The 26838-nt window shown below is 38.9% G+C and overlaps 1 protein-coding gene and 2 pseudogenes across 1 annotated transcript; all 3 read left to right on the top strand.

Moving 5' to 3' along the window:
* Nucleotides 1-1708: 1708 nt before the first annotated feature.
* TRIM43 (tripartite motif containing 43) lies at nucleotides 1709-9486 on the top strand. The gene is made up of 7 exons (NM_138800.3): nucleotides 1709-1857; nucleotides 3728-4142; nucleotides 4758-4853; nucleotides 5910-6140; nucleotides 7037-7059; nucleotides 7588-7685; nucleotides 8800-9486. The coding sequence occupies exons 2-7, from the start codon at nucleotides 3732-3734 to the stop codon at nucleotides 9279-9281; spliced, it is 1341 nt and encodes a 446-aa protein (NP_620155.1). The 5' UTR covers nucleotides 1709-1857; nucleotides 3728-3731; the 3' UTR covers nucleotides 9282-9486.
* LOC100421548 (family with sequence similarity 178 member B pseudogene) lies at nucleotides 16781-26297 on the top strand (annotated as a pseudogene).
* Nucleotides 26282-26838, top strand: LOC100421292 (cAMP responsive element binding protein 1 pseudogene; annotated as a pseudogene).

Below are 26838 nucleotides of genomic sequence, written 5' to 3' on the forward strand. Positions count from 1 at the left end.
ATACCTTACAACAAGCTTGCCCAACCCACGGTCCGTGCGGCCAAGGACGGCTTTGAATGTGGCCCAACACAAATTCCTAACCTTTCTTGAAACATGAAGAGATTTTTGTTTGTCATTTTATTAAAGCTCATCAGCTATAGTTAATCTTAGTGTATTTCATGTGTGGCCCAAGACAATTCTATTTCTAATGAGGCCCAGGGAAGCCAAAAGATTGCACACCCCTGGCTTAGGTGATATTATTTATTCAACACCATAGATATGTGTGTGTGTGGGGGGTATATATATATGTATATGTGTGTATACATACATATATGTACCATATATATCATATATGTATCTCCTGCTTCTAAGAGGGAGGAACTTTTCCAAATAGAAATAACATAGGTGAAATGTAATTCTTATCCTAACCATGAACAAGCAAGCTTTTTTGGAATCTTTGAGTGGATGTAATTTTATATTCCCCTTTATCAAACACTGACCACAGGGAATATTCCCCTCTAATAAGCTTCTTTTGTAGCTTTTTTCTGAAAAACTGGACAAATGTAATGTGGGAGTCAGACAGCATGTGTCACTAAGCTGAGAGCAGTGACATATGCAGGTGACATTCGCATGTCCTGGCAGCATTGTCCAGCAAAGTCTTCCTTTCTTTGGGGATGGACCCTCCCTCCTCACCTGGAGCAGCTCCACGTCAGGCATGAGGCACGTCTCCCACAGCTCTCTGTACATGTCTTTCATCCTTTCTAAATGTTGGGTCATTCTCACTTGACTGTCTTGTAGTTGTTGGAAAAGCTATTTGGCTTCGCTGTCCAGTGCCTGCAGATGAAGTTGCTTCTCCTCATCGAGAAATAGATGCATCTTTTGATATTGAATATTGATTATCACCTTACTTAATGACACATAGTTCTGCGGAGACATTTGGTTAAAAGGATTACATACTCTCACTCTCAACAGAAAACTTCAAATAATTATATGCTGGGTGTAATCAAGCAATCTATAAACTTTCTGCCTCACTCTTGCAAGGAGTCTTGAATATTTGTTATTTCTTTCTGTCCTTCTTTTTCAATGTTCCTATTCTCTCTCCCTCTTTAAATCAAAACCTATATAAAGACTTCTAGTTTCTCTTCCTGAGATGCTTCTTCACAGTTCTTACTGAGTCAACTATCTCCTCTATTAATCTCCCTTTTAGGATTTTTCCATGTCTGATTCGCCTAAATATTAAAAAACATTTAGCCATACACCATATTATGCAGATTGATTTTTCCTTTTACTGTATTTTTACTCTATATACTATTTTATATACTATTCTATTTCTTTCCTCTTCCTTACACCCAATCTTGGTGAAATGTCTCATCTCCAGTGTCTGAAAAGGTTTATACCAACCTTCAAATTTGAACTAGAATACATATCATACCATTTATCCAATAAACTAGAATTAATTTGGTTAGCTTGTGTGGGCTTCTCTATTTGCAATTCCTATTATATCAATTATATCAAACCCCCTCTCTACTAAAAATGCAAGAAAAAAACTAGCCAGCGACAGAGCCAGACTCCTTTCAAAAAAAATAAATAAATAAAGATAAAACTTCTGTTCTGAAGAAACTTAATCATCTATGTTAACACCCACCTACGCCCTGTGAAATGCAATCAATTGGAAGAAAGGGGTGTGGTCTTCAGAGATTTATAAACCGACACTTCAGGAGCCAAGCTCATTCTTCTCCAGAGCCCACAGAGTAGCTTTGCAACTGGCTTTGGGGACTTCCGAAAGCTACCAGCACTGCACTGTGAGACTCTCATCCCTGAGCTGAATTCATCTGATTCGACGGCAAGCTTTGGTGAGAACATAGATATATTTCTGAGGTAAGTACACAATTTCCAGAGTAGGAGCTACTATTAGGAGCTACAAACCAAAACAAAATTTGGGGACTTTAATTTATCTGCAAACTTAGATTATTTTTAGATGAAATGATCTCATTTTCTGAGTTTTAAAAACGGCTCCATTTCTTTTTTAAAATTATTTTAAACATAATCCATAGGTTTATGGATTAAACATGGGCCACCATGTTCAGCTATTTATTTATTTGTTTATTTATTTATTTTGAGATGGAATCACGCTCTATTGCCAGGCTGGAGTGCAGCGGCGCTCTTGGCTCACTGCAACCTCCGCCTTCCAGGTTCAAACGATTCTTCAGCCTCGGCCTCCAGAGTAGCTGGAAATATAGCCGCCTGCCACCACGCCCAGCTAATTTTTGTATTTTTTTTTAGTAGAGACGGGATTTCACTATGTTGGCCAGGATGGTCTCCATCTCTTGATCTTGTGATCCGTTCACCTCCGCCTCTGAAAGTGTTGGGATTACAGGCCTGAGCCACCGCGCCCGGCCTTTTTTTTTTAAATTTATATAAGTATTTTTAGAGACAGGATGATCTAGACACTTTGCCGTGTCACCAGTCTAGAGTTCCTGAGCTCAAAAAACCTGCCTGACGGCCTCCCAAAATGCTGGGATTACAGGCTTGAGTCACCTTCCCTGGCTTGGTTTTTATTTTTATTTGTATTTTAGCAAAACATACATTTAAAACGCTGACTTACTGTCTAGTGCCTAGTTTTTGTTTTTTTTTTTTAGAGGGGAGACAGAGTCTTGCTCTGTTACCCAGACTGGAGTGCTGTGGCACTATCTCGGCTCACTGCAAGCTCCGCCTGCCGGGTTCACGCCATTCTCCAGCCTCCGCCTCCAGAGTAGCTGGGACTACAGGCGTCCTCCACCACTCCCGGCTAATTTTTTGTATTTTTTAGTAGAGTTAGGGATTCACCATGTTAGCCAGGATGGTCTTGAGCTCGTGACATCGTGATCTGCCTGCCTCAGCCACCTCGGCCTCCCAAAGTGCTCGGATTACAGGCGTGAGCCACCGTGCCCGGCCTCTAGTGCCTGTTATTGCATGATACTTACTCTTTTCCTGACTGTGTGAAAGAGTAATGATAATGCTTCAATTATCATTATCTTTTTGTAAATTGAATTAATTGTCTTTTAAGGATGTTGTAATATTAACTAGTATATCCCCAAATTAACAGACTGTCCAGGAACAGTAAACATGCCAGAAAGTTTTTGTTGATTAAATTAACATAGTAGCCTAGAAAAACAATGATTCTTAGCTTTACCTTGGAGAGGTGCCTTACCTTGATTTGACTGTTTTTCCTTGGAGAGTAAAGGCTAGCTTTTTCTGATTTGGGTCAAAGTATGAGTTCTGCTCTAACATTTTCAAGCAATGTCCTTCTGGAAAAGTCATTATGGATGGTTGTTATAGTTAAATAAAATAATGAGAGTAGAAGAGCTTAGTTAGCTTTCCTTCTTTAAACCAATCACTGGCAATTAAGAGTGTTACTGATTTTCAGACCATTCAAGACTCAAACCTTGAGTTTACAGGTTGATGAAACCCTTGAAGCCCAAGCAATTTGGTGGATACTAACACCTCAAAAAATCCGACATTCTTCCATGCAAGAAAGTAGAGTTTGGAAAGCTGGTCATGTGTTGATTGGAGAACAGTCACTTTTTATAGAGGTTGATGTCTCTTTGTGCCTTAGTTTTCTGTTTTTCCTATTTCTGTCATTGCAGATTAAAGCCTATACTTCTTTAGAAAGAAAGGATATTATTCGATCACGATCTGATTCAAACTTTGCTTGGATCTTTGTCTCTCCAGGGTAGAAGATTAAATTCCTGTGGTTTTCTTTCCTTAGGAAAATGGACTCAGACTTCTCACATGCCTTCCAGAAGGAACTCACCTGCGTCATCTGTTTGAACTACCTGGTAGACCCTGTCACCATCTGCTGTGGGCACAGCTTCTGTAGGCCCTGTCTCTGCCTTTCGTGGGAGGAAGCCCAAAGTCCTGCAAACTGCCCTGCATGCAGGGAACCATCACCGAAAATGGACTTCAAAACCAATATTCTTCTGAAGAATTTAGTGACCATTGCCAGAAAAGCCAGTCTCTGGCAATTCCTGAGCTCTGAGAAACAAATATGTGGGACCCATAGGCAAACAAAGAAGATGTTCTGTGACATGGACAAGAGTCTCCTCTGCTTGCTGTGCTCCAACTCTCAGGAGCACGGGGCTCACAAACACCATCCCATCGAAGAGGCAGCTGAGGAACACCGGGTAAGAGATAGCTCTGTGATCACCTGAAAGCTGGAGGGTGGCAGAGTTAAAGATATTAGAAGGATGATGAGAATCATGGTGATTACTCCATTCTTTACTGAGTGCCAGGTGCTGTTCTAGGTACCAATGATGACATTTTGAATAAAATGTGCAACTCTACCTTCCTTCATGGAGCTTGCACCCAAAAAGAGACTGATTAAGTAAATGTCATTATTATTGACTCTACAGTTCAATGCTAATGACATTGAAAAGCTACCAAAACTACCAGTGCAAAGAAAGGTATTTTGGAAATATATTTAATATTACTGGACAAATGAGTATGGGAGTAGCACACTACAAAATCAGGGGCTAGCATAGTGGGTTCTGAAGCAGGATGTTTCCCTGAACTAATTTAGCTGGGTTACAGGAAATCTTCACTCTTCAGTTCCCTAAGCTGTTCTACATTCTGAAACCTCAAACTGAAAAATATCAATTAAGGATGAGCAATGAAAAATTTTGTTTTTTTCTCCTCTCACTAATGTATTTATATATTATCCCTTGCCTGTGTATACCACTCAGATTGTGGAATCTTTGGCATTTGACTTTCTGTTGTTCAACCTTGTAATTCTTTTGCAGGAGAAACTCTTAAAGCAAATGAGGATTTTATGGAAAAAGATTCAAGAAAATCAGAGAAATCTATATGAGGAGGGAAGAACAGCCTTCCTCTGGAGGGTAAGTATGAGACCGTGAGTCCTCCTGACCAGCTTGAGACAGGCATGCTGACAACATTTATATTAGCAACTTGAGTTGAAATTCTTATGCCAGATTTTGTCATGTGTTTATTCATAGGCTGGAAAACAACCAGACTGTTCAACATAACGATTGTTCAGGTTTTCTGTAAATGCTTTTCAGATAAGTAAAAAATAAATATAAATTCTGAAGGGCAAGTATGTGCTTAAAATTAATAAGTATTTCAGACAGAGTTTTCTGTATAAAATTAATTATGAAATGTTGATTAAATAGTATATAATTGAGAAATAAAGGCATTTATTGGTGAATATGATATTGTCCAGGGGGAAGAAATCGGGTGGGAACAGTAATTTAAGAAATGTGCCTGTGCTGGTGAAATCTGATAGCAAAGGACCCACATGATGCCAGTCCGAGTAGGAGAAAATGCAACATGAGGAAAAGCTGAGGAGAAGGGATAAAAAATGACTGGGGCAGTGAGAGGATAAATATGTCATTATTGAGAGGAGAAACACAATGGAATGGGGATTAATGTTCTTAGAATGGCAGTGCAATACAGAGTCTATGGATTTGACAGAAGAAAGATAGGAGACAGAAAAGAGGTAGTCAGTTTGAGAGATGGGGGTTAAATTTTTTACTAAGATCCTTTTTGTGTGATGGCTTCTGATCCTGATTATAATATACTAAAAACATTTCTACTAAGAGTGATTGTTCAGGCTGTGAAGTACAGAGATTTGAAACAACAACCTAAGTGAATAACAAAGATTATGTGTATTATCCATGACAATGTAACAATCATAAATTTTAGTTGTTTTCTAATTGTATTTCCGATTTGATTTAAACATTTAAACCTAAAGGGCTTTTTTGCAGGTGTTTGGGAATTGATGAATTACATAAATTTTGAAGGAAGGTCTTGCTTAACTCATCATCCTGTTTGTAAAGGATGGAAAATAAAAGAAGGAATGAGGAGGATGAAGTTGTAGGCTCTGTGAGGTGGAAGTAGGCCTGGGTATATAACCTACAAAATTCATATCCCTACAGGGCAATGTGGTTTTACGGGCACAGATGATCAGGAATGAGTATAGGAAGCTGCATCCGGTTCTCCATAAGGAAGAAAAACAACATTTAGAGAGACTGAACAAGGAATACCAAGAGATTTTTCAGCAACTCCAGAGAAGTTGGGTCAAAATGGATCAAAAGAGTAAACACTTGAAAGAAATGTATCAGGAACTAATGGAAATGTGTCATAAACCAGATGTGGAGCTGCTCCAGGTAAGAATGGAGGATGCCCCTTGAGACACTTTGTGTTAGCTGACCTTTACATCTTTGCCTTCCATTGGGTACCAAAGACATTATTTCCTCATCTCCTGTACTGACGGTGAGAGTCATTCCCACCGGTTATAGAGATAAACTATAACTCCTACGCTAATCATGGAAATAAAGCTTTATGGAATTGTGCAACTAGATTTCCATACAACATTTTCTACCACAAGCTTCCTCCTCCAGCACATTTCATTAAAACTCTGGAAGAAAAAATTTCATGCTTGATTTGAGCCACATTACACTTTGGGGACTAGCCCTGAAAAAGACCACATTGTAGACAGCTGCAGCAATGCGCAGTCACTACTCACACCTTTCTCTCTCACTCAAATTTAGGGTCCTTAATTTATCAGAAATCCATATTGTCAATAGGTCTTACTGGTATAATTGTTAGAGATGAGAATACATTTTAAAAGAGTGGCAGTAATAGTATACGGTAATTCTAAAGTTTTGAAAACCTAAAGACCAGATAGGCAGAATAGCAACTTTTTTGTGTGTTTATTTTGAGACAGAGTCTTCTTCTGTCACCCAGACTGAAGTCCAATGGCCCAATCTCAGCTCACTGCAACTTCTGCCTCCTTGGTTCAAGCAATTCTCCTGCCTCAGCCTCCCTAGTAGCTGGGACTAAAGGCATGAACCACCACACCCCACTATTTGTGTGTGTGTGTGTATTTTTAGTAGAGACGGGGATTTGCCATGTTGTCCAGGCTAGTCTGGAACTCCTGACCTCAGGTGTTCCACCCACCTTGGCCTCCCAAAGTGCTGGGATTACAGGTGTGAACCACCTCACCCAACAAGAATAACAACTTTCTAAAGAAGTCATTTTTTTTTTCTCTCTCTCTCTACAGGATTTGGGAGACATCGTGGCAAGGTATGTTTTTGGCCGTCAGTGCAAACTGGAGCACAAGGCATGCTATGAAAAACATCAAGCTGTTTCCAACAAAGTGAAAACATAATTTACTAACACCATAATGTGTCAGTGTGATTGTGTGTGTATGTGTGTGTAGTCATGTGTTTATGTGGTATGATGAATGTCATCTATGCCTTTTATCAGACATTAATCTTTTCTTACTTTCCCAAGTGACTCAGGGGTTTATGTTTTGAAGAGTGCAATGCAGAGGTTGCTAGAATACAGTTGCCTCTTTTTGCGATTCAGAATCATAATTAGAGATAAACTATTTGGTGGCAGATAGGGAGAGAGGCATTTATCTTTCAGGGGCAGTAGGTTAGAAATGGAGTGAATAGTTAGAAAGATTCCCTAAGAGCCACAAACCCATCCTAGCGTTGTGGAGGTACATTACGGTATCAGAAGTGGGTTTGAATGAAGCATTTTCTGTTGGAATCTGTTTCTTAAACACAGACATCAGAAAGTTAACCAACTCAACCTACTTCCTTGCAGGAGTGAGTCCGTGCTGCTGCACATGCCCCAGCCTGTGAATCCAGAGCTCACTGCAGGACCCATCACTGGACTGGTGTACAGGCTCAACCGCTTCCGAGGTGAGTGTGGCCCTGTTGGTGGGATCCACATGCAATGCCTTCAATTATGGTTTTCTATGGGCAGCTTTCCCAGTGTAATGATCTTTCATCTAGAAGAAGAGAATAGCCTGTGAATAGGTATTTATATTTATAGTTTCACTATCATCAAACAGACAAAACGAAATAAAAGCTGGTGAAATGTAATAGGAATCAGCCATATAACAAATTTCTTAGAAAAATAAAACATGCAGAAGGGCTCTTTAGGACTTTAGGAACCATTCTCTGATACAATTTCATGTATACAATTATTACATGAAGTATACAGAACTGAATTCAGGACATTTCAATTTCAAATTCAGTGCAGTTAACGACTGATTTGAGTGACAGCGTTTTTTTAAAAAAAATACATTTTTAGGTGATGTTTCATAGCATTTATAATTTTAATCATGTTTTTAATCAACTAAAGCATACATGAGTAACTTATATAACAATGCAAAAACTGAGAATCTGTCAACAATAGGAACATGATTTGGTGGTTGATGAGGTCTTAGATAGAACTCCAGGATAGATCATGACAAATCCAGCAGAATAAAAGAAGTCTGTGCCTGAATCTGGCATGAAAGTCAGATAATTTTTGCAAGGAATCAGCACTTTTCAGAAGGCAGATTCAGGTTTTCTCTTTAAGTATGAATTTGCTAGGTTAAGTGGCAGATCATAATATTTCTGGAAAGTGATAACTTTTTTATTTGGGACTAAGAATAGCTCCCCACCTCATCTCCTGTCCAAAGCCTCCTGCTCTGCCCTGACAGAGACGAGACAATGAAGGTTAATTTTATGGCTATGGACTTGGCTGCAGTGGAGGAGCTTCCAGTTTTTCAGTTGTTATGAAAGGTCGCTAACGAGACATAGACATGACCTTCCTCCCCTTTATACTTTTTGAGTTTATGGAAATTGTGATCATCCTAGTTTAGCCATTTACTTGTGCAGATCTCCTAACACCCTTTGATTCCAACATTTTTCCAGACAGAAGTTTCTTTCTAATCTTGACCTGTGTTTTCTAGTGAGAATCTCTTTCTTATCTGAACATAAGAATTTACAAACTGATTTTCACTGGAACATTCTCTTTTTTCTACAGTGGAAATTTCCTTCCATTTTGAAGTAACCAATCACAATATCAGGCTCTTTGAGGATGTGAGAAGTTGGATGTTTAGACGTGGACCTTTGAATTCTGACAGATCTGACTATTTTGCTGCATGGGGAGCCAGGGTCTTCTCCTTTGGGAAACACTACTGGGAGCTGGATGTGGACAACTCTTGTGACTGGGCTCTGGGAGTCTGTAACAACTCCTGGATAAGGAAGAATAGCACAATGGTTAACTCTGAGGACATATTTCTTCTTTTGTGTCTGAAGGTGGATAATCATTTCAATCTCTTGACCACCTCCCCAGTGTTTCCTCACTACATAGAGAAACCTCTGGGCCGGGTTGGTGTGTTTCTTGATTTTGAAAGTGGAAGTGTGAGTTTTTTGAATGTCACCAAGAGTTCCCTCATATGGAGTTACCCAGCTGGCTCCTTAACTTTTCCTGTCAGGCCTTTCTTTTACACTGGCCACAGATGATCAGGATTAAGAAAACTTACTGTTTGGGAACTCCATATACAAGGGAGCCCTTCACTGTTGATACAAAGAAATCATACTGTTCAGGCTTTTTTGTACTTTAGTGTCACTTCATTTTATTGCTATTAAATAAAAAATTTGTAAAAGGCAAAACTTTTTGTACATTTTCTTACAATTAAAATAATCTCTTATGGACCATTACCTAAAATACGTATTGTGATTTTCAAGTGTTTGTGAATTTATTGGATGGAATTCTGGAAATATGTGGGTGTGTGATTCCAACTTAATGATCTCATTCAGGAACAACTTTTGTACATCATGGGCAGACGGGGTTTTGTACAATGCACTTGTAAGTGTGAGAGTTCCCTCCTATTAATACAGTAAATTCTACACCTCATCCCTTTGGGGGGAAAAATTTATTTCACACAGAAGTTGTCACTGAATCTTTGGGCTAGAACAGGAATTTAACAGTCATGCATCCTATGGCAACAAAATACATTCTGAGAAATGCATTATTAGGCGATTTCATCATTGTGTGAACATCAGAACACACTACAAAAACCTAGATAGTATATTCATCTACAGACATAGGCTAATGGTACAGCCTATTGCTTTTCTGAGAATTTGCTAGCGATGTCTGAGCAAGAACCAAAAGGGTTTAACCCACATTGAATTCTGCAGCTGTTTAATAAAGCAAACAGCATCATCCAGGGAATAATAGATGTGCAGACTGTCTGCTTTAAAATGTGTTTATATTTCCAATTCACACAGACTGTGAATTCTCATTGACAACCTAGAGACCAGACATAACCAACACCTCATGTTACATTGGAAACATATTAGTATCAGGTAAAAATAAATAAATAAATAAATAAACAAACTAACTAAATTAAACCAAAACAAAAAGTGAAACAAACAAAACCCAGTTCTGATGAAAACCCAGTTTATAGTGAGTCCATTGAGTCTGTCTAGCCACCAGATGGTCATTTTCATGATCACTGATTAAATAATGGAAACATTCTACTTCCAGTCCAGCAGATGATCCTGGCTGATGTCTGAGGTTCATTGCTTGGGGCTGTTACCTAGAATATATTCAAACGGCCTTTCCAGGTAGCTCCCTGGGCTTGCTCACAGCATGGTAGATAATTTTCCACAGTGAAGATTCCCATAGAGTCAGGAGAATTGTATACTACCATTATTCCAGAGAGTAAAACATCAGCTGTAGCCACAACCCTACACAAAGTAAAGGGACTAGAACACACACACAGCAGTAGCAGTCTTGAAGTTACATCATAGAAAAACAATGTGGGATGGAATATATATTTTAGCACTCTTTTAGAGAGAGTGGGGGAGGAATATAACCTACTACACCTACTCTTCCTAAGAAGTGGACACTGAGGATCTATATCCAGAGACTGGGGGTCCTGTAAAACATGAGATCCAACGAGCCCCTTATAGAAACACCATTCAAGTTCCAGATTCCTGGAAAAGGGCAATTGACAATTGACCAGGTAAATATTCTTTTGGAAATTTTCTTCAAGATTTGGTATCAACTGGACAATCATTATGAACACAGCACAGCAAAATCACTGAGGAAGATGCACATGACACTGGAGTAGAGGGGGGGAAGGGGTGGTCCATCTCCTTCAAGATGACCAGGGAGAGACACAGTAATTCTATGTCAATGAGATGAAAAAGGTCAGGGCATCCTTGTCAGGAACCGCCTTCTGATGTCTATACGCGGCTGCAAACTATTCATGTAGGCCTTCTGAATGCCTTGTACTTCCCAAGATTTCTTGATGTTAAGAACCACTGACTGGGGTTCATAGTACGTAGAATACCTTCAGCATAGAGGGTGACAAAGTCTTTCCCTCAAAAGCCAGAAATTCAGAAACCTGTAGCTGAGTCATCCACTGGACCTTACCAGTAAGTGTGGGCTGAAGAGAGAGACACTGGCTTTAACCTCAGATAAAAGCTGTTCCATTCTCATTGCCTTGTAGCCTCTCATACTCAGAAGGAAAGGTGAGGCTCGGTCCTGTGACTGTTCATTCTTCCAGACTGTGAAAGTTTTTGATGCTGACTCAGAGAAATGTCCTCTGTTTACTAAAATATAATATCTATTAACATTCTGCTGCAAAGGAGATAGGCCCTGTCTTGTCGCAGTCCTCTCAACCTGTGCCCATATGTTCCACTCCTCTGGCCCGTACTGAACCATGATGCCTGCCAGAATCACTCTGAAATTCTTCTGTCCCTCTGTCAGTTTTCTGGCCCAGTTCTCAGAACGCAGGTCCCTGTCTGTCCGCTTTGCAATGATCTGTCCATGCCCTTCAAATTCACAACATAAGAAGAGTTGATCATTAAAATATCCCAGAATGGGAAATAGGGGTTCCCTGTTCTGTCTGAGACCAGCAATGCAGATGCAGGATTCTAAGGGAGGAGGAGAAAGCAAAAGTTGGTGTCCTTGAAACTGCTCAGTCACATCCTTGTGACATCTAAAAGGGTAAAAGGTATTCAGGGTTAAATAATTGGAACAGAAGGAGGACAGTCAAGTTCAGGCATATATGGAGAAAGAGAGCTTCTGTCAGTGCCTGACACCAAGTAAAACTCTTTCTTTAATGGAATGCACCCATAAATGTGTCAGAAAAATAACCCTTGGTGAGGAAAACCAAAGTTGCAGAGAACAAGGGATAAAGAAGACAGCAAGCAACATTTCCTGCAGATTTCAAAATAATTCTTGAGTGCTTACATTTCCTGGAATTGCTGTGAGGCTACTGTGTATTATCACCCACTATGAAAAAGTCAGCTGAGAGTAATATGGTATCATGGTTAAGAGCAATGTCTTGAAGCTAAATTGCCTGGGTTTGATTCCCAAACTCACTGCTCATAAGCCTCCTTCCCAGAACAAAGTGCCCTTCTCAAAGCCTTGTGTGTGGGTGTGGGGTGTATGGGTGTGTTAGGCATATTTTTATATAATATAGCAGTTGTATATTCACAGTAATTGTGTGTGTGTGTGTGTGTGTGTGTGTGTGTGTATGTATATATATGTGCTGGGATTATAGGTGTCAGCCAATGCGTCTGGCTTACTCTCACTTTTAACTATTGTCTTAGAAGCATGCATGACTCAATTTGTTTTTCAATTCACGAATATATCTAATGGTTTAGAGAGTTATTTTTTAACTGAACTGTCACGTTTTGCAATTATGATATCTTTATTTCTATTCAACCCTCACATTATTTACTTCTTTTTCTTGTCTAGTTGCATTGAAAAGGAGATCAAGCAAGGTGTTGAACACAAGTGATGATAACAGGATTTATATCTCATTCCCATTCCTGGGTAGAAGCTTTCAAATTCTCCATTAAATATGGTACTGGCTCTAAGTTATTACATTCTTATTAGAGAAAGTTCATGGCTATTTGTTTTTAATAGTGCTTTCAAAATCATAAATGACCATTTCATTGTATCAAATATTTTCTTCCTCTTTTTACAGGAACAATGATATGTATTTCATCCTGTTCATGTCGTGATTACTTATTTCATTTTCTGATGTTACATTAGTCAACCTTTCTAGAATAAGCTCCACTTGGAGATGATATGAGTTTATCTCTCACAAGATTTGACTAGCTAGCTTTTTTGAATTGTTGCACCTATATTTATTTTAGAGTCTGTACTGCAATTTGCATTTCTTGTAACACACTTTTCAGGATCGAATATCAAAATTATATGTTGGAGCTTGGCACAGCAGCTAGAGCCTGTCATCACAGCCCTTTGGGAGGCCAAGACAGGAGGATCACTCGAGCCTAGAAGTTCTGGGCTTCAGTGAGCTATGATCTTGCCATCGCACTTCAGCTTGGGCAACAGAGAGAGAAGCTGTTTACAAAAAGTAAAAGAAAACACAACAGAAAACCAAAGTTACAAGTTGGGAAGTATTACTGCTTTTTTCTGTTCTCTAGAAGGGTTTGTCTAAAAGCGTGTGATTTTTTTTTCTTAAATGTTGTGAATATTTCACTGAAAAAGATCACCAGGTTTTTCGCTGGGAGAAGTTTTGTTTTTTAAATAATAGGGTAAATTTTTAGAATCTAAATCATATCTTAGATTTGTCTATGGTTTCTTCTGTTGGTTTTTGTCAGATATGTTTTTCAGGGAAATTTCTCATTTCATCTAAATCATCAAGTGTATGAACATAAAAGTCATCTTAAAATCTTCTTATTAACATATTAATTTGTGGATGACCTAAGTGTTGGCCTATTTATTTTTGATTTGAACTCCTCTTCTCCATTTTTTAATTGAGTCTCACTAAGAATTTATCAATTTAATTGATCTATTTAAAGAGCCTACTTTTGGTGGGTGTGGTGGCTCACACCTGTAATCCCAGCACTTTGGGAGGCCGAGGTGGGTGGATTATTTGAGGTTAGGAGTTTGAGACCAGCCCAGCCAACATGGTGAAACCCCAGCTCTACTAAAAATACAAAAATTAGTCAAGCGTGATGGCACGTGCTTGTAATCCCAGCTACTCGGGTGGCTAAGGAAGGAGAATCACTTGAACCTGGGTGGCAGAGGTTGCAAGGAGCCGAGATCGCACCACTGCACTCCAGCCTGGGTGACAGAGTGAGACTCTGTCTCAAACAAACAAAAAAAAAGCCTACTTCATTGATTTTATCTACTGTATGCTTTTTAATCAATATTCTACAATTTTTTTTTTTAGATTTTGGCATGAATTTACTCTTGTTTATCTGGCTCTTTGGGATAGATAACAGATGAATTTAATGCTTTATTTCTAAATAACAGATGAATATAATGCTATACATTTTCTTCTTAACATTGTTTTAATTAAATCTCAGAAGTTTTGTTTCTATATATCTTGAATATTATCCCATGAAAAATATATTCATTGCTTTTCTTTAATTCATGCATTTACAGAGACACTGTAAAAGAAAGAGAAGAAAATACTTTTTTAAACCTTTATTTTAAGTATAGCAATACATGCGCAGGTTTGTTACATGGGTAATCTTGTGTCATCAGGGTTTGTTGTATAGATTATTTTATCAACCAGGTCTCAAGCCTAGCACCCATTAGTTATTTTTCCTGATCCTCTCCCTCTTCTAATCCCCCACCCTCCTATAGGTCCCAGCGTGTGTTGTTCCCCTCTATGTGTCCATATGTTCTCATTATTTAGCTCCCACTTATAAGTGAGAACATGCACTATTTGGTTTTCTGTTCCTGTGTTAGTTTGCTAAAGATAATAGCCTCCAGCTCCTTCCCTGTCCCTGCAAAAGACATGATCTAATAATTTTTTATGGCTGCATAGTGGGAATACATTTTCTAGTTACATTATAAAACAATAAGAAACAACTGAAATTAATTTTAATAAAAATCGTTAACCAAATATATCCAATAGGTTTCGACACGATTAACATTACAAACGTTAGTAAGATATTTTGTATTGTTACTTTTTTGTTTATCTGTTTGTTTTGAGACAGGGTCTTCCTCTGTCACCCAGGCTGGCATGCAGAGATGGGCATTCCAGCTAACTGCAGCCTCAACACCCTGTGCTCCAGCAATCCTCCCACCTCAGCCTCCCCAGTAGCTGGGACTACAGGTGCTTGCCACAACACCCGGGTAAAGTTTTTTTTCTGTAATGATGAGGTTTCACAGTGTCGACCAGGCTGGTCTCAAACTTCTTGAATCATGAAACGTCCCACTGCAGCCTTCCAATGGCTGGTATTACAGGCATGATCAACTGCACTCTGCTTTCTTACCTTTCGTGCTAAATTTTTGAAATTATGCACTAGAAGATCCGAAGTAAGAGAAGTGTTAAAAAAGATGAAGCCCCCAAATTGCAAGAACCACAGAGAGTAATAAACTGTGGTCCAAAGGTAATCAGACAGATTTAAACTCATATACAGAAAAACCAATCTAAAAAGAAAAGAAACGTTGATTATAAAGCGAGATTCTTGACTTTGTGATTGCAGACTTTGTGATTAGCAGTTTTCTATAATGGTAAAATCCAGGTCAGGCCATGAAAGTGGAGGCAGAGATACAATAAAGGAGAAGTTCTTTCAACCAGACCTCACAATCTAGTAGAAGTAACAGACACACTAGTAAAGCAACAATCCCAGTACAACATGGAAACTGCCACAAATATCTATCTATTGGACATATAGAATCAAAGATCAAATCGTTTGCATGAGTCTTGAAGAATGAATGGAAATTTTCCGGGTGAATAAACAGTAACAGTTGTCCAGGTTCAGAAAAATGCCTGCATAAGGGAGAATTTGCTGTCTAAGGTGGTTTTCAATACCTGTGATTCTCGGCAGATGAGCAATGCTTTGATGGTCCAGAAAAACCGAGGGGTTAAAAGTGTATTTGTGGAATGCAACTTTTTATAAATCCAAAAAGTAACTTTAAAAGGAGACTGTGGATGGATTTCTGAATCACAAGTAAGGGAAACTCTGTCAGAGAGGACTTCCAACTGGACAATTTCAAATGAAGAATCCTTAGCTCATTTGAAATACCAAGGTCTTAGAAAAAGAGAACAGAGGCCATGGACTGGAGACGAGAGTTTGAGTTTTAAACAGGGTGGTCAGAAAATGCCTCAATGAAAAATTCATATTGAGACAACGTCTTGAAGAGGAAGGCAAACACAAGTGTGTGTGTGTGTGTGTGTGTGTGTGTGTGTGTGTTTGTGTGTGTGTGTGTATGCTTAGAGAGAGAAAGAGAGGCAGAGAGAATTCTAGGTGAAGAAAACAACATGTGCAGTAATATTGAGTTTGTGTTTATTTTGAGGGCTGAGGAACCACAAAGAAGTTTATGTTTTATGTTAAAGTCAGTATGAAAAACAATGGAAAGAAATGAGATTAGATAGACAAAGAAGGCCAGATCATAAATGAAGCCTTATTAGCATAGGTTTTGCTTGGTGAAATGCATTGAGTTGAGCATGCTAGTCTGAGGCTATTTCACACATAATGAATTTAAATAACTTGCCCCAAATTTCAGAAATGAAAATAATTATTCCCTTTCTAGTCAATATAGCTCTAGAGTCTAACTATTAAGCCCGAACTGTCTTACTTTTCTATAAATATGAGTTGGAAAAGAGGAATCCAATTTGTTTTTCTTCTTTATGACTATCTTAGAAAAAACACTTTATCACGAATAAAGTGAATATATTTGGTTAGATACATCTATGTTCGTTGATCTTCATGCAGAAAAGAAAACAGAGTAAAATTTCGTATAGTCTGAGAATTGGCAAGACTAAGAGTTAAAATATGGGATGTTCAAGAGACAAAGAGGAACCAGTGAGATTCAATAGGAGATGAGTACGTCGGTTTTGTTTTTGACTAACCCGTTGTTACTGCAGGATTATGTGAATTTAAAGATAGAAGCAATCAGAGCTGAATATCAGAAGATGCCTGCATTTCTCCATGAAGAACAGCAACATCACTTGCAGATGCTTCAAAAGGAGGACGAAGACAATTTTTAGCAACTCCATAAAAGCGATGCCAGAATGGCCCATGAGAGGGAGATTTTAAAAGGAATGTATGAGGAGCTGAAGGAAAAGTCCCATAAACCAGATGTGGAGCTAATCCAGGTACTGACTGACCATGGGGTATCAGGATGTGGAACATTCATGTGCACAGGTGTTCTTCCTCTTTCCTGAAATGCCTTCTTCCCTGTATTTCCACGACTTCTTTCCAGAAACACATTTCCATAACTCATGCTACTTTGTGGGTAGAGTATAGCCCCTCCCAGGGATTTTACCAGAAAAAAAGGTCCCTCTTACTTTATCCACCAGCAACAAAACTTTGTGGAATGGTCAAGGTAACAGCCCTAATAAATATTCCCCATCTACGGTCAATAATATATTTGGCTTTTTGAACATTTATAAAATAGTGAGAAATTCATTTACATTAGGTCAGTTTGGAGACATGGCAAGACTGGGAGTTTGGGGAATCTAAATATTATTTTTCATCCATTCACTTTTATAATAGGGCCTAGGGAAGATGACTGGATAGGTTCTTCATGGTTACTGCAGAAGATAGACTCTGGGCCTTTTCTCCCTTCACTTGTATAAAGAATGTCTTCAAGACTCTGACTTCACTAGGACATTAATTCATAACAATATGATAGACTATGTTTTTCATTAGAGAAGAAATATAAAATGCTTTCCAGAAGGGAAAATGGCAGGAAAATAATATTTTCAGAAACTGCCTCCAGATCTCACACTGAACTTAGTGGAAGATTCATCTTGTAGAAAGCACAAACCCTTTCTATTTTTTTTTTACAGGTGTTTGGAGACATATTACACAGGTGCACGTGTACCTGGATTTTAGCAGGTGTTCTTTCAGTTTCCACAAATATCAAACAGGATCTACTAAAGCGAAGGCATACATGATCAAGATATTAATATTACTTTTTCCTGGTTCTACTTTTGCTCCCCCACCTTATGTAGTCATCTATTATGTCACCATACTCAGTGATTTTACTGGACAGATGCAAAGAAAGTATTGGGAAAAAAAAGGAGAAAAAGCAAACACCAATACATAAATAAATAAACAAAAGAAGAATGAAAGAAAACAAGCATCTCAATTTCTGATTTTTTTATACCTCCAAATCCTGGATAGGTGAAAGATAAAGTGTTGTTTCCTGGATGGTGGGAAAATCACCAGGGGAAGCAGCAGGAGAGAGAAGGGGAAACTATTTTAGAAGTGAGAAAGTGTGGATGATTTGTTGTTTACATTATATATATATACACACACACACACATATATATACACACACATACACATATATATAATCAGTTGATGCTCTGAAAAATAGATTAAACAAACTGTAAAGGGTTAGAAGCCTGTAAGCCTCTAGAGAAGTCTGGCACTAAAGAAGAAGAGCACACTGACAGGCACCAGCAGATGCTGGCAGCCATTAATGGTAGAATGACATGGAAATCAGCTGAGAGCTCTTGGAGGCGAGCCCTGCTGCTGAGACGTTTTACTGCAGGGGAACACCACCTTCCCACTCCATCCCCCTTCTGGCACACCATTTATCTGCTGAAAGCTGCTTTCACCAACCAATAAATCTTGCACTCATTCTCCAAGCCCACATATGATCCGAGTTCTCTGGTACACTCAGGCAACAACCCCAGGATACAGAAAGCCCTCTGTCCTTGCAAAAAGGCAGAGGGTCTAATTGAGCTGGTTAACACCAGCCAGCTGTGGAAAGGTAAGCTAAAAGAGCACAATGAAACACAAGCCCACTGGTGCTTTTCTTTTCTAATAGTATAAAATCTAAAACTTAAAGAAATGTCAGTTTTATTTACGACTACACTCCAGGAAATAATAACAATCAGTTAATATAACGTCTAGGACATAATGGAAATGTAACAAATATTTGAATAATTAAATTTAAAAATGCATAAGAGAGATTTGAAAACTTTGATGTTAAAGATAGGAGCATTAATTTAATGGTTTGCGTTTTTTAGGATTTTAGGTTGATGTGAAAACCAATTAAATTCTAGAAGCTTATTTTAAACCTCATCCATTTTTCATCTTTTTAGAAAGATTCCTGTTTGTTGGGATGCAGGGAGTATAGAGAGTGTATTAGCACAGAAGCCTAATGTGTGGGTGTGTGATAAAGTCATGGCAGTTATTCATTATTCATTTTATTTATATATATTTGGATAGAGAGATAGACTGAATTTTTAAAATGGAGATAGGGTCTCACTATGTTCCCCAGGCTGAACTCATACTCCTGGGCTCAAGGGATGCTCCTCCCTCAGCCTATGGAGTAGTCAGGAATATAGGAGCTGGCCACCATTCCTGGCAGTTTGTTTCATTTTAATTTAATTTGAGGTCATCCCCCAGGCCATAAGAGAAGAGATGGGAGAATAGAAGAACAAAATGTAGACATATACTCCCTTCTTTCTATTCTCATTTCACCATCATACAATATCCCCTTGGTTTTTGTTTTAATAATTGTTCTGCCACAGTTAATTACACATTCACTAGTGTGTTTCCACTATCAAACGTACTTCTTCGGTATACTGTGGAAATTAACAAACGCTTGTTAACAGAAAAAAAACAAAACCTAAAGCTTGGTCAACATCACTGTCTTCCATACCGGGGAATGAGTGTTGCTGTGGGGTCTTGAACAAGTCTCCTCAAGGTAGGAGGCTAAACTTGACTTTCGAGGTAGGGCTCAGACACCAAACCAAGTTGAGGTTAGCTAAAACAGGGACCAGGCAGAAGCAGCTTTCCAAAAGACACGCCCACCAGTGTGCCAGAGCAGGTTACCATTGCCATGGCAACACCCAGGAGTTATCACCCATTCCATGGCAATGACTTGACATCCCAAATTACCCTTTCTCTAGAAATTTCTGCATAAACCCCTTAGTCTACATGCTATTAAAAGTAGGTGTAACCATGACTGCAAAACTGCTGTGAGCTGCTAATCTCTGCCCATGGAGTAGCCCTGCTCTGTGGGAGCAGCCACAAAGCTGTAACATCACCAGAGCTGAAACGCTACTGCTTCAATAAAGCTGTTTACCTCTACCTTTGGCTTGCCCTTGAATCCTTTCCTGGGCAAAGTCAAGGACTCTCAAAGGTTAAGCCCCATTTTGAGGCTCAGCTTCCCTGCATTGAGCTTAACTCACTTTGCCAAAGTGTTGTCAATTATCAAGCCTAGTGATGAGAGCTTACAAAGCTTACATTTATTGAGAACTTATCATGTGGTACGCATGTGTTTTAAATGCTTCAAATATAAAAACCTCTATAATCCAATATTTACAATAAAAAACTGAACTGTGGGAAATTTAACAGATCTGAACTAAGGCAACTAGTCTCCCACATCTGTACTCTTCATTTTGCAGTGTGTTGCCGTCTCCAGTGAAATGTGGGTAATAGACCAACATTCCAACGACCACTGGTTGAGAGTCAGGTCACATCATGCTGTATCCAGAATTGGTGAGTTCTCGGTCTCGCTGATTTCAAGAACGAAGCCACGGCCCCTGGCGGTGAGTGTTACAGTTCTTAAAGACAGTATGTCAAGAGTTTGTTCCTTCAGATGTTCAAATGTGTACAGAGCTTCTTCCTTCTGGTGGGTTCGTGGTCTCATTGACTTCAGGAGTGAAGCTGCAGACCTTGAGGTGAGTGTTATAGCTCATAAACACGGGGTGGACCCAAACAGTGAACAGCAGCAAGATTTATTTTAAATAACAAAAAGAACAATGCTTCCACAGTGTAACAGTGTGGTAAGGGACTCTAGTAGGTTGCGCCTGCTGGCGCAGGTGGCCTGCTTTTATTCCTTCTCTGGCCACACCCACGTCCTGCTGATTGGTCCATTTTGCAGAGAGCTGATTGGTCCATTTTACAGAGAGTTGATTGGTCTATTTTGACAGAGTGCTGATTGGAGTTTTTACACTCCCTTAGCTAGACAGAAAAGTTCTCTGTGTCCCCACCTGATTAGCTAGACACAGAGCCCTGATTGGTGTGTTTACAAACCTTTAGCTAGACACAGAGTGCTGATTGGTGCGTCTACAATCCTTTAGCTAGACAGAAAAGTTCTCCAAGTCCCCACCCATCCCAGAAGCCCAACTGGCTTCACCTCTCACTGGCACTTGCCGCTGGACTTTGTGGCACCTAGCCCGGGCACTCTGGCATCCCAGAGGGATCTCGTCCCAGACAATCTAGAGGAAAAGAGGGGAAGCGAGAAAGAGACAGAGACCTACTAACGTGGCTAACGATCCCGCGAAAAGGGAACAGGGGTCCCACGCACGGGATTGAGCCTCCTATCAAGCCCAGCAGGCTCCGACGGGCTGCGCTGAGTGCGGGACTTGCCGAACCCTCGCTAGCCCGCAAGAGATGCGTGCGGCCCAGGCTCCTGCTGGCGCGTCTCTCTTCACACTTCCCCTTCAGCAGAGGTAGCCAGCTCTGGCCTAGGCCAGCACCAGAGGGGTCCCTCATAGCGCAGCAGCAGGCTGAAGGGCTCCTGGAGCGCGGCCAGAGTAGACACCGAGGCTGAGGAGGCACCCAGAGCGAGCGAGGGCTGCTAGCATGTTGTCATTTCTCAGTGCCACTAAAGAGTTTATTATAATACCTAACACAATAAAAAATAAATATCTGCTGTAATATTAAAATATTAATAAAAATAATATTTACCACATAATTTACCACTTTCACTCCATCTCATCACTGAATAATCTATAACTTTACTGCAACAACAAGCCCAATCCACCTTCTCTTTCTTTCTCAGGAGATGACTTTGCATCTCATCTTGTCAATAAAATGGAGTTTATGTAATCTTTTACATTTAGGCTCAAAGCCATTTTTTTCATAACCTTAATAGCACCCTTCATCACCGCATTTCAACTGTTTACACAAAAACACAATTTAAAGTTTTTTATGGCTTGGCATGGCAGCTCATGCCTGTGATCCCAGCACTTTGGAAGGTCGTGGCAGGAAGATTGCTTGAGGTTTGAGACCAGCCTAGGCAATACAGCAACACCCCATCGCTACAAAATATATATGTATATATAAGCCATACGTGGTGGCTCACACCTGTAATCTTAGCTACTCACAAGGCTGAGATGGGAGGACCCCTTCAGTCTGGGAGTTTAAGGCTAAAATAAGCTAAGATTGCACCACAGTACTCCAGCCTGGGTGACAGAATGAGACCTCGTCTCAAAAAAAAAAAAAAAAAAAGTTGTATGTGAATATATGTTTACAAAAATGCCTGCTTTGTTCTAGACATGGATTGTTGTGCTCTGGATATATGAAGTTCTTAATATTCTCCTTACATAAGAATAAAAGAATTAATATAAACAAATATTTTTCTGTAATAGAATTAGGAAATTTTCCCAAAATATGGGTAGCATAATATGATAGAAAATATTAAAGGATAATGTCAAAAAACGTAAGAAGATTAGTGTCAAGATTCACATGCTAATGAAGTGTCAAGATTCACATGCTAATGAACTTTCATTATTTATATATTTGAAACAATTGTATCTTATTTTTATTCTATAAGGTTGATTGTGAAATTTTCTGAGGATGGCCAACATGTACCAGGAAAATACGAAGATTCTTAGTGATAAGAAAATATAAAAAAGGACTTACAATGATGGAGACTGTCGGGAATTAAACTGACATACATATTAAGCTACTCACTAAGAATAAAATGATTTCCATCTCATTTACTGTAGAAATATACAAAACACACTTACATCATAAAGAGGAATACAGATGATAGAGAGTGCATATTTTTATAATAAATTGAGAAACCTATGTTAAAACAAAAAAAGGAAAGAAAATATCTTGGATTATAAACAAGGGATCAATTATGACTAATATGTAAAGAATTTGTATCATCTGTAATTCATTCAGTCTCATAAACCTGAGGGTACATTTCTCACAGATACCCAGAATCAGCAAAAACCTCTCATGGGATCAGTTAGGGCACAGGCTAATTTACTCTAATAAAGATCCCAATTTTAAGTAAATGGGGGCTATTTTTTACATCTACTTATCTAAATAGAGGAGGTAATCAAAAAAAAACGACTGTTACTTTCAACAACTGGATTTCATCTCTATTTGCAAGAAAGTGAAATTTGTTGCCATCTCCTGTTCAGCGAGAAAACTGAAAAAGCATCCTGAGCAAGAGGACCTGAATGTCAGGAAATGACGTGGTGCTTTCTACAATACTTCTGTTCCCATCCTCTTCCTTCAAGCTTAGGCATGCAGCACACTGAGCTGCCAGATGTATCTGGAAATGCTGAATACACATTAAATGTTTATTTTTATTTCCTTTATTTTATTTATTTTTATTTTATTTTATTTATTTTTTATTTTTGTTTTTATTTGCCAGAGACAAGGTCTTGCTATGTTGCCCATGATGGTCTCAAAGTCGTGAAATCTAGTAACCCTCCTACCTCAATCGCCCAAAGCATCGGGATTAGAGGCATGTGACACTGTGTCTGGCCTTTTCTTTATCTTTTTTTTTTCTTTGATTTAGAAGAAAAAAAAAATTCAATGACAGACAGAGCAGAAGAAATACCCAGAGCTTGTGTTCAATGAAAATCAGGTGATCCTTTACTAAAGAGTTGCTTTTAGTTCGAACCGGGAATGAGTATTCAGGAATAAGTAAACTCTGCTTTTCACCACTGTCGAGGTGTCCAGTGTTTCCCCATTCAGCAACTGGCTAACTGAGGATCATATGGCAAGAAGGATCTTATGTGTCTTTTAATCTCTTAAATTGGTGGCTAAATCAAGGTGATTATCCAAATTATGAAAATACTTATCAGCAATGCTTCCTTATTCTTTCTGTCTGTACTACCTAGACTGCTTAGTTAACTTTCTCTCTTCTCCTCCTACACATGTTTTGTAGCACTTTACTCGGCAACAGGAAAATTCTATCACCTTCTGAAATTTGTGTCTCTCCAAGTGATCTCACATTGTGGAATTTTACCTTCTGGGCTTTCAACCCAATTTTCCTTTCTGTTTCCACCTAAAGTTCCTGAGCATTCTCTATTGACACTAAAATTTCCATAAGCAGCAGCCATTACACTCTCAATTACCTTGTTACCAATTTTGTTTGTCATTTATTCAAAGAAAATTTTGTAGCTAATCTTATTTAGCTTAGATTTACTTGTACATACAGGTGGTATTAGCCACTAAGGACATTTAAGATATAGGTTGGTAAATTTTCTCAGCCATTAAACCAAAAATTTATTACATTCTTCTGTTTTGATAACTTCTATTATAATTATTATCACCTGGGACATTCCTAAAATTCAGAAATAAAATTAAGGTAAGACACTGGGAACCTTGCCAGTTATATCAGAAACCTAAGATTCCTTCTCACCTCGTGAAGAGGTTATTGATCCATTTGCCTTGTCACATTTTGGGGGGCAGAAGTAAAATTCTTCATAGAAATAAAATTAAAAACTGATGTGGAAACATAGTATGTGTGTAGTTCAAACCAGAGAAGTGATATGAAATTTAAGGAAGAGTATACAAAATGCGAAGAGATCACAGTCTATGATGAAATTCTGGGAAAGCCGTAGCATAAAGATCACATCAAGGAATATGAGCCCAGGAAGGAACTAAGATGTGTTAACCATATACTTAAAAAAAGAAAATTACATGTTGGGAGGCTGAGGCGGGCAGATAACTTGAGGTCAGGAGTTCGAGACGAGCCTGGGCAACATAGTGAAACCCTGTCTCTACCAAAATTACGACAATTAGCCAGACATGGTGGTGGGCATCTGTAATCCCAGCTACTTGAGACACGGGGCTGGAGACTTGCTTGAACCCAGAAGGTGCAGGCTGCAGTGAGCTGAGATTATGCCACTGCACTTCACCCTGGGTGCCAGAGTACGACTCTGTCTCAAAAGAAAAGAAAAGAAAAGAAAGGAAAGTTGTTTGTGGCAAAATAAAGCAAATGCATAATAGTAGCATACATAGAGTTCTTGTCTTGTGTTCTCAATTTAGCCAGCATAATTTAATTTATCATTTCAACTAACTATAGCTGTTGATGCTGCAGACTCAGAGAGGAATGTCTACCCAGGTGTCCTCCCGTGAGCTTTCCTCTGACTCATTGCTAGTAACCAAAAATTCAAGATTATGTAAAATAAAGTTACTGTTATTAGACAATAAAAATTCTACTGCCTTCAAATCAGAAAATGTTATTTCTGTTCTCAGTTCAACTCCTGGTGTGTGTGTGTGTGTGTGTGTGTGTGTGTGTGTGTGTGTGTGTGTGTAATTTTGGCCAGATTTTCTCATATCTCTTCAGGTTTTCTCATTGTATATTTGAAGATATGAAAAGACAAAATTTTTGCAAATTTAGCTAAATGATCAAATTGGCTTCTATCTGTGATTCAAAAATAAGAAAATATCTCATCCAAAAATAGAGAGTTTCTGTGCTGGGTATGGGACAAGAGCCAGTTTCTGTAAGGTTTCTTGAACAGGAACAAAGAAACAAAATAATACAACAAACGAAATGGTTAACATCAGGTTACTCTTCTTGCATAGATGAAAGAATAGAGGACTTCCTTATCATGCTGGCTAAAGCTGGCCTGTTTTGGCATTTGGCTATTATGCATCCGTCCTGATTTTTTACTAAGTCAGGTAAACAATGTAATTAAAAACTCAGGGATGCAGAACTTTAGCATGAATAGCTGCATTTTGATTTGGTCTGTTGGGGCACAGTCCAAATAAATGGAATTTTTAAAAATTTGAATTAACAGAATGTTTTTACATTTATCTCATATTTCTATAGTATTTTAGGATTTAATTTTCTATCCTTGATACTCATCTGAGGTTTCCTTAAAATGTCTGAGGACAGTCACCTAATACATACTGGAATTTTATACTTCTAACCTTTCTAACTTTTAGGAATACACATGAGCTTATTTTATAGGGGGAGCTTAAATTCATTACTTTATTACTTGAAAATTTCAGAAAGAAAATATCTTTCTTTCTGAATTTTCTGGGAAGTAGGCAGAATAATCTGGGAGATAGGCAGAAAATCTAGAGACAACTGAGAGAAGAGGGCAATATAATCACAATGTGGAAAAGAGATCAGTGGCAATTTTTTCTTTTAATCCAATCTTGGAAACAGATCATTTATTCACTCACCCATTCTTTAATCCCAGCCACTTGGAATTCCCTTGTGAGTCTCTTCCCTCACCTGTAGTTTATTTCCAAACATATTCGGGAAACATGCACAGAGAACACTACATTACCCTAATCCTATTAATAAAACAATCACTTTAATAGGAAGGAAGAAGCCTGTACGAATCAAAAAGGATGATCAAGACAAATTTCTGTGATTTTTTTTTGTAGCATCGTGCATGGAGGATCCACATGGTTTCCACAGAGCTGGAGTCATTCAGGGAAGCTTCTTATATCGAGAGTGGTCCAGAAGAATTCTACCAAAGATTTAAGAAGTGTTTTTCTACAACTCATATCTTCATAAGTATGAAGGGTAAAGATTCTCAGAATACAGTTCATGGATATCTGATTCTTAACAGGTAAGACAGATACTGTCCAAGAGCATTTCCAACAGGATAATATTGAGTAGTGTATCCTTCCATGCACCTGGAAAGCCAGGAATTAGAGAAAAGTATGAAGATGAGAAAGCAGTGTCATCTGCTATTGTTGCAGTGATGGTACAAGCTCCAGCTTACCAAACTATCAGTGGGCAGCATACTGCCATTACTCAGTGAGGAGCTTTAGAACTAACTAGTAATGATACTCTTGGTGCACAAGGACTGCAGAAAAGATAACGGATTAGAGGAGCCACTCTATTGCTGGTGACGTACACAGTGCACTATCTAGAGACCACTGATGGGCAGAGAATGCTAGCAGCCAGTAACCAGGTTGTGGTACCAGCTGTCACAGAAAATGTGCCATCATCCCAGATTGGCATCCTCTATCAGCATTGTGCCTGGAGCGGGTAGGGCATCTTTCCCAGGTCCAACTGCTCAGCTTTTCAAAAGGCAGTGGAGAAGAGAGAGAGGCTGGCCCAAAAAGAAACAATGAAGCATCATGAGAATATTGTAGAAAGTATAAG

Source organism: Homo sapiens, chromosome 2 (genome assembly GCF_000001405.40).
Source record: "Homo sapiens chromosome 2, GRCh38.p14 Primary Assembly".
Lineage (NCBI taxonomy): Eukaryota > Metazoa > Chordata > Mammalia > Primates > Hominidae > Homo > Homo sapiens.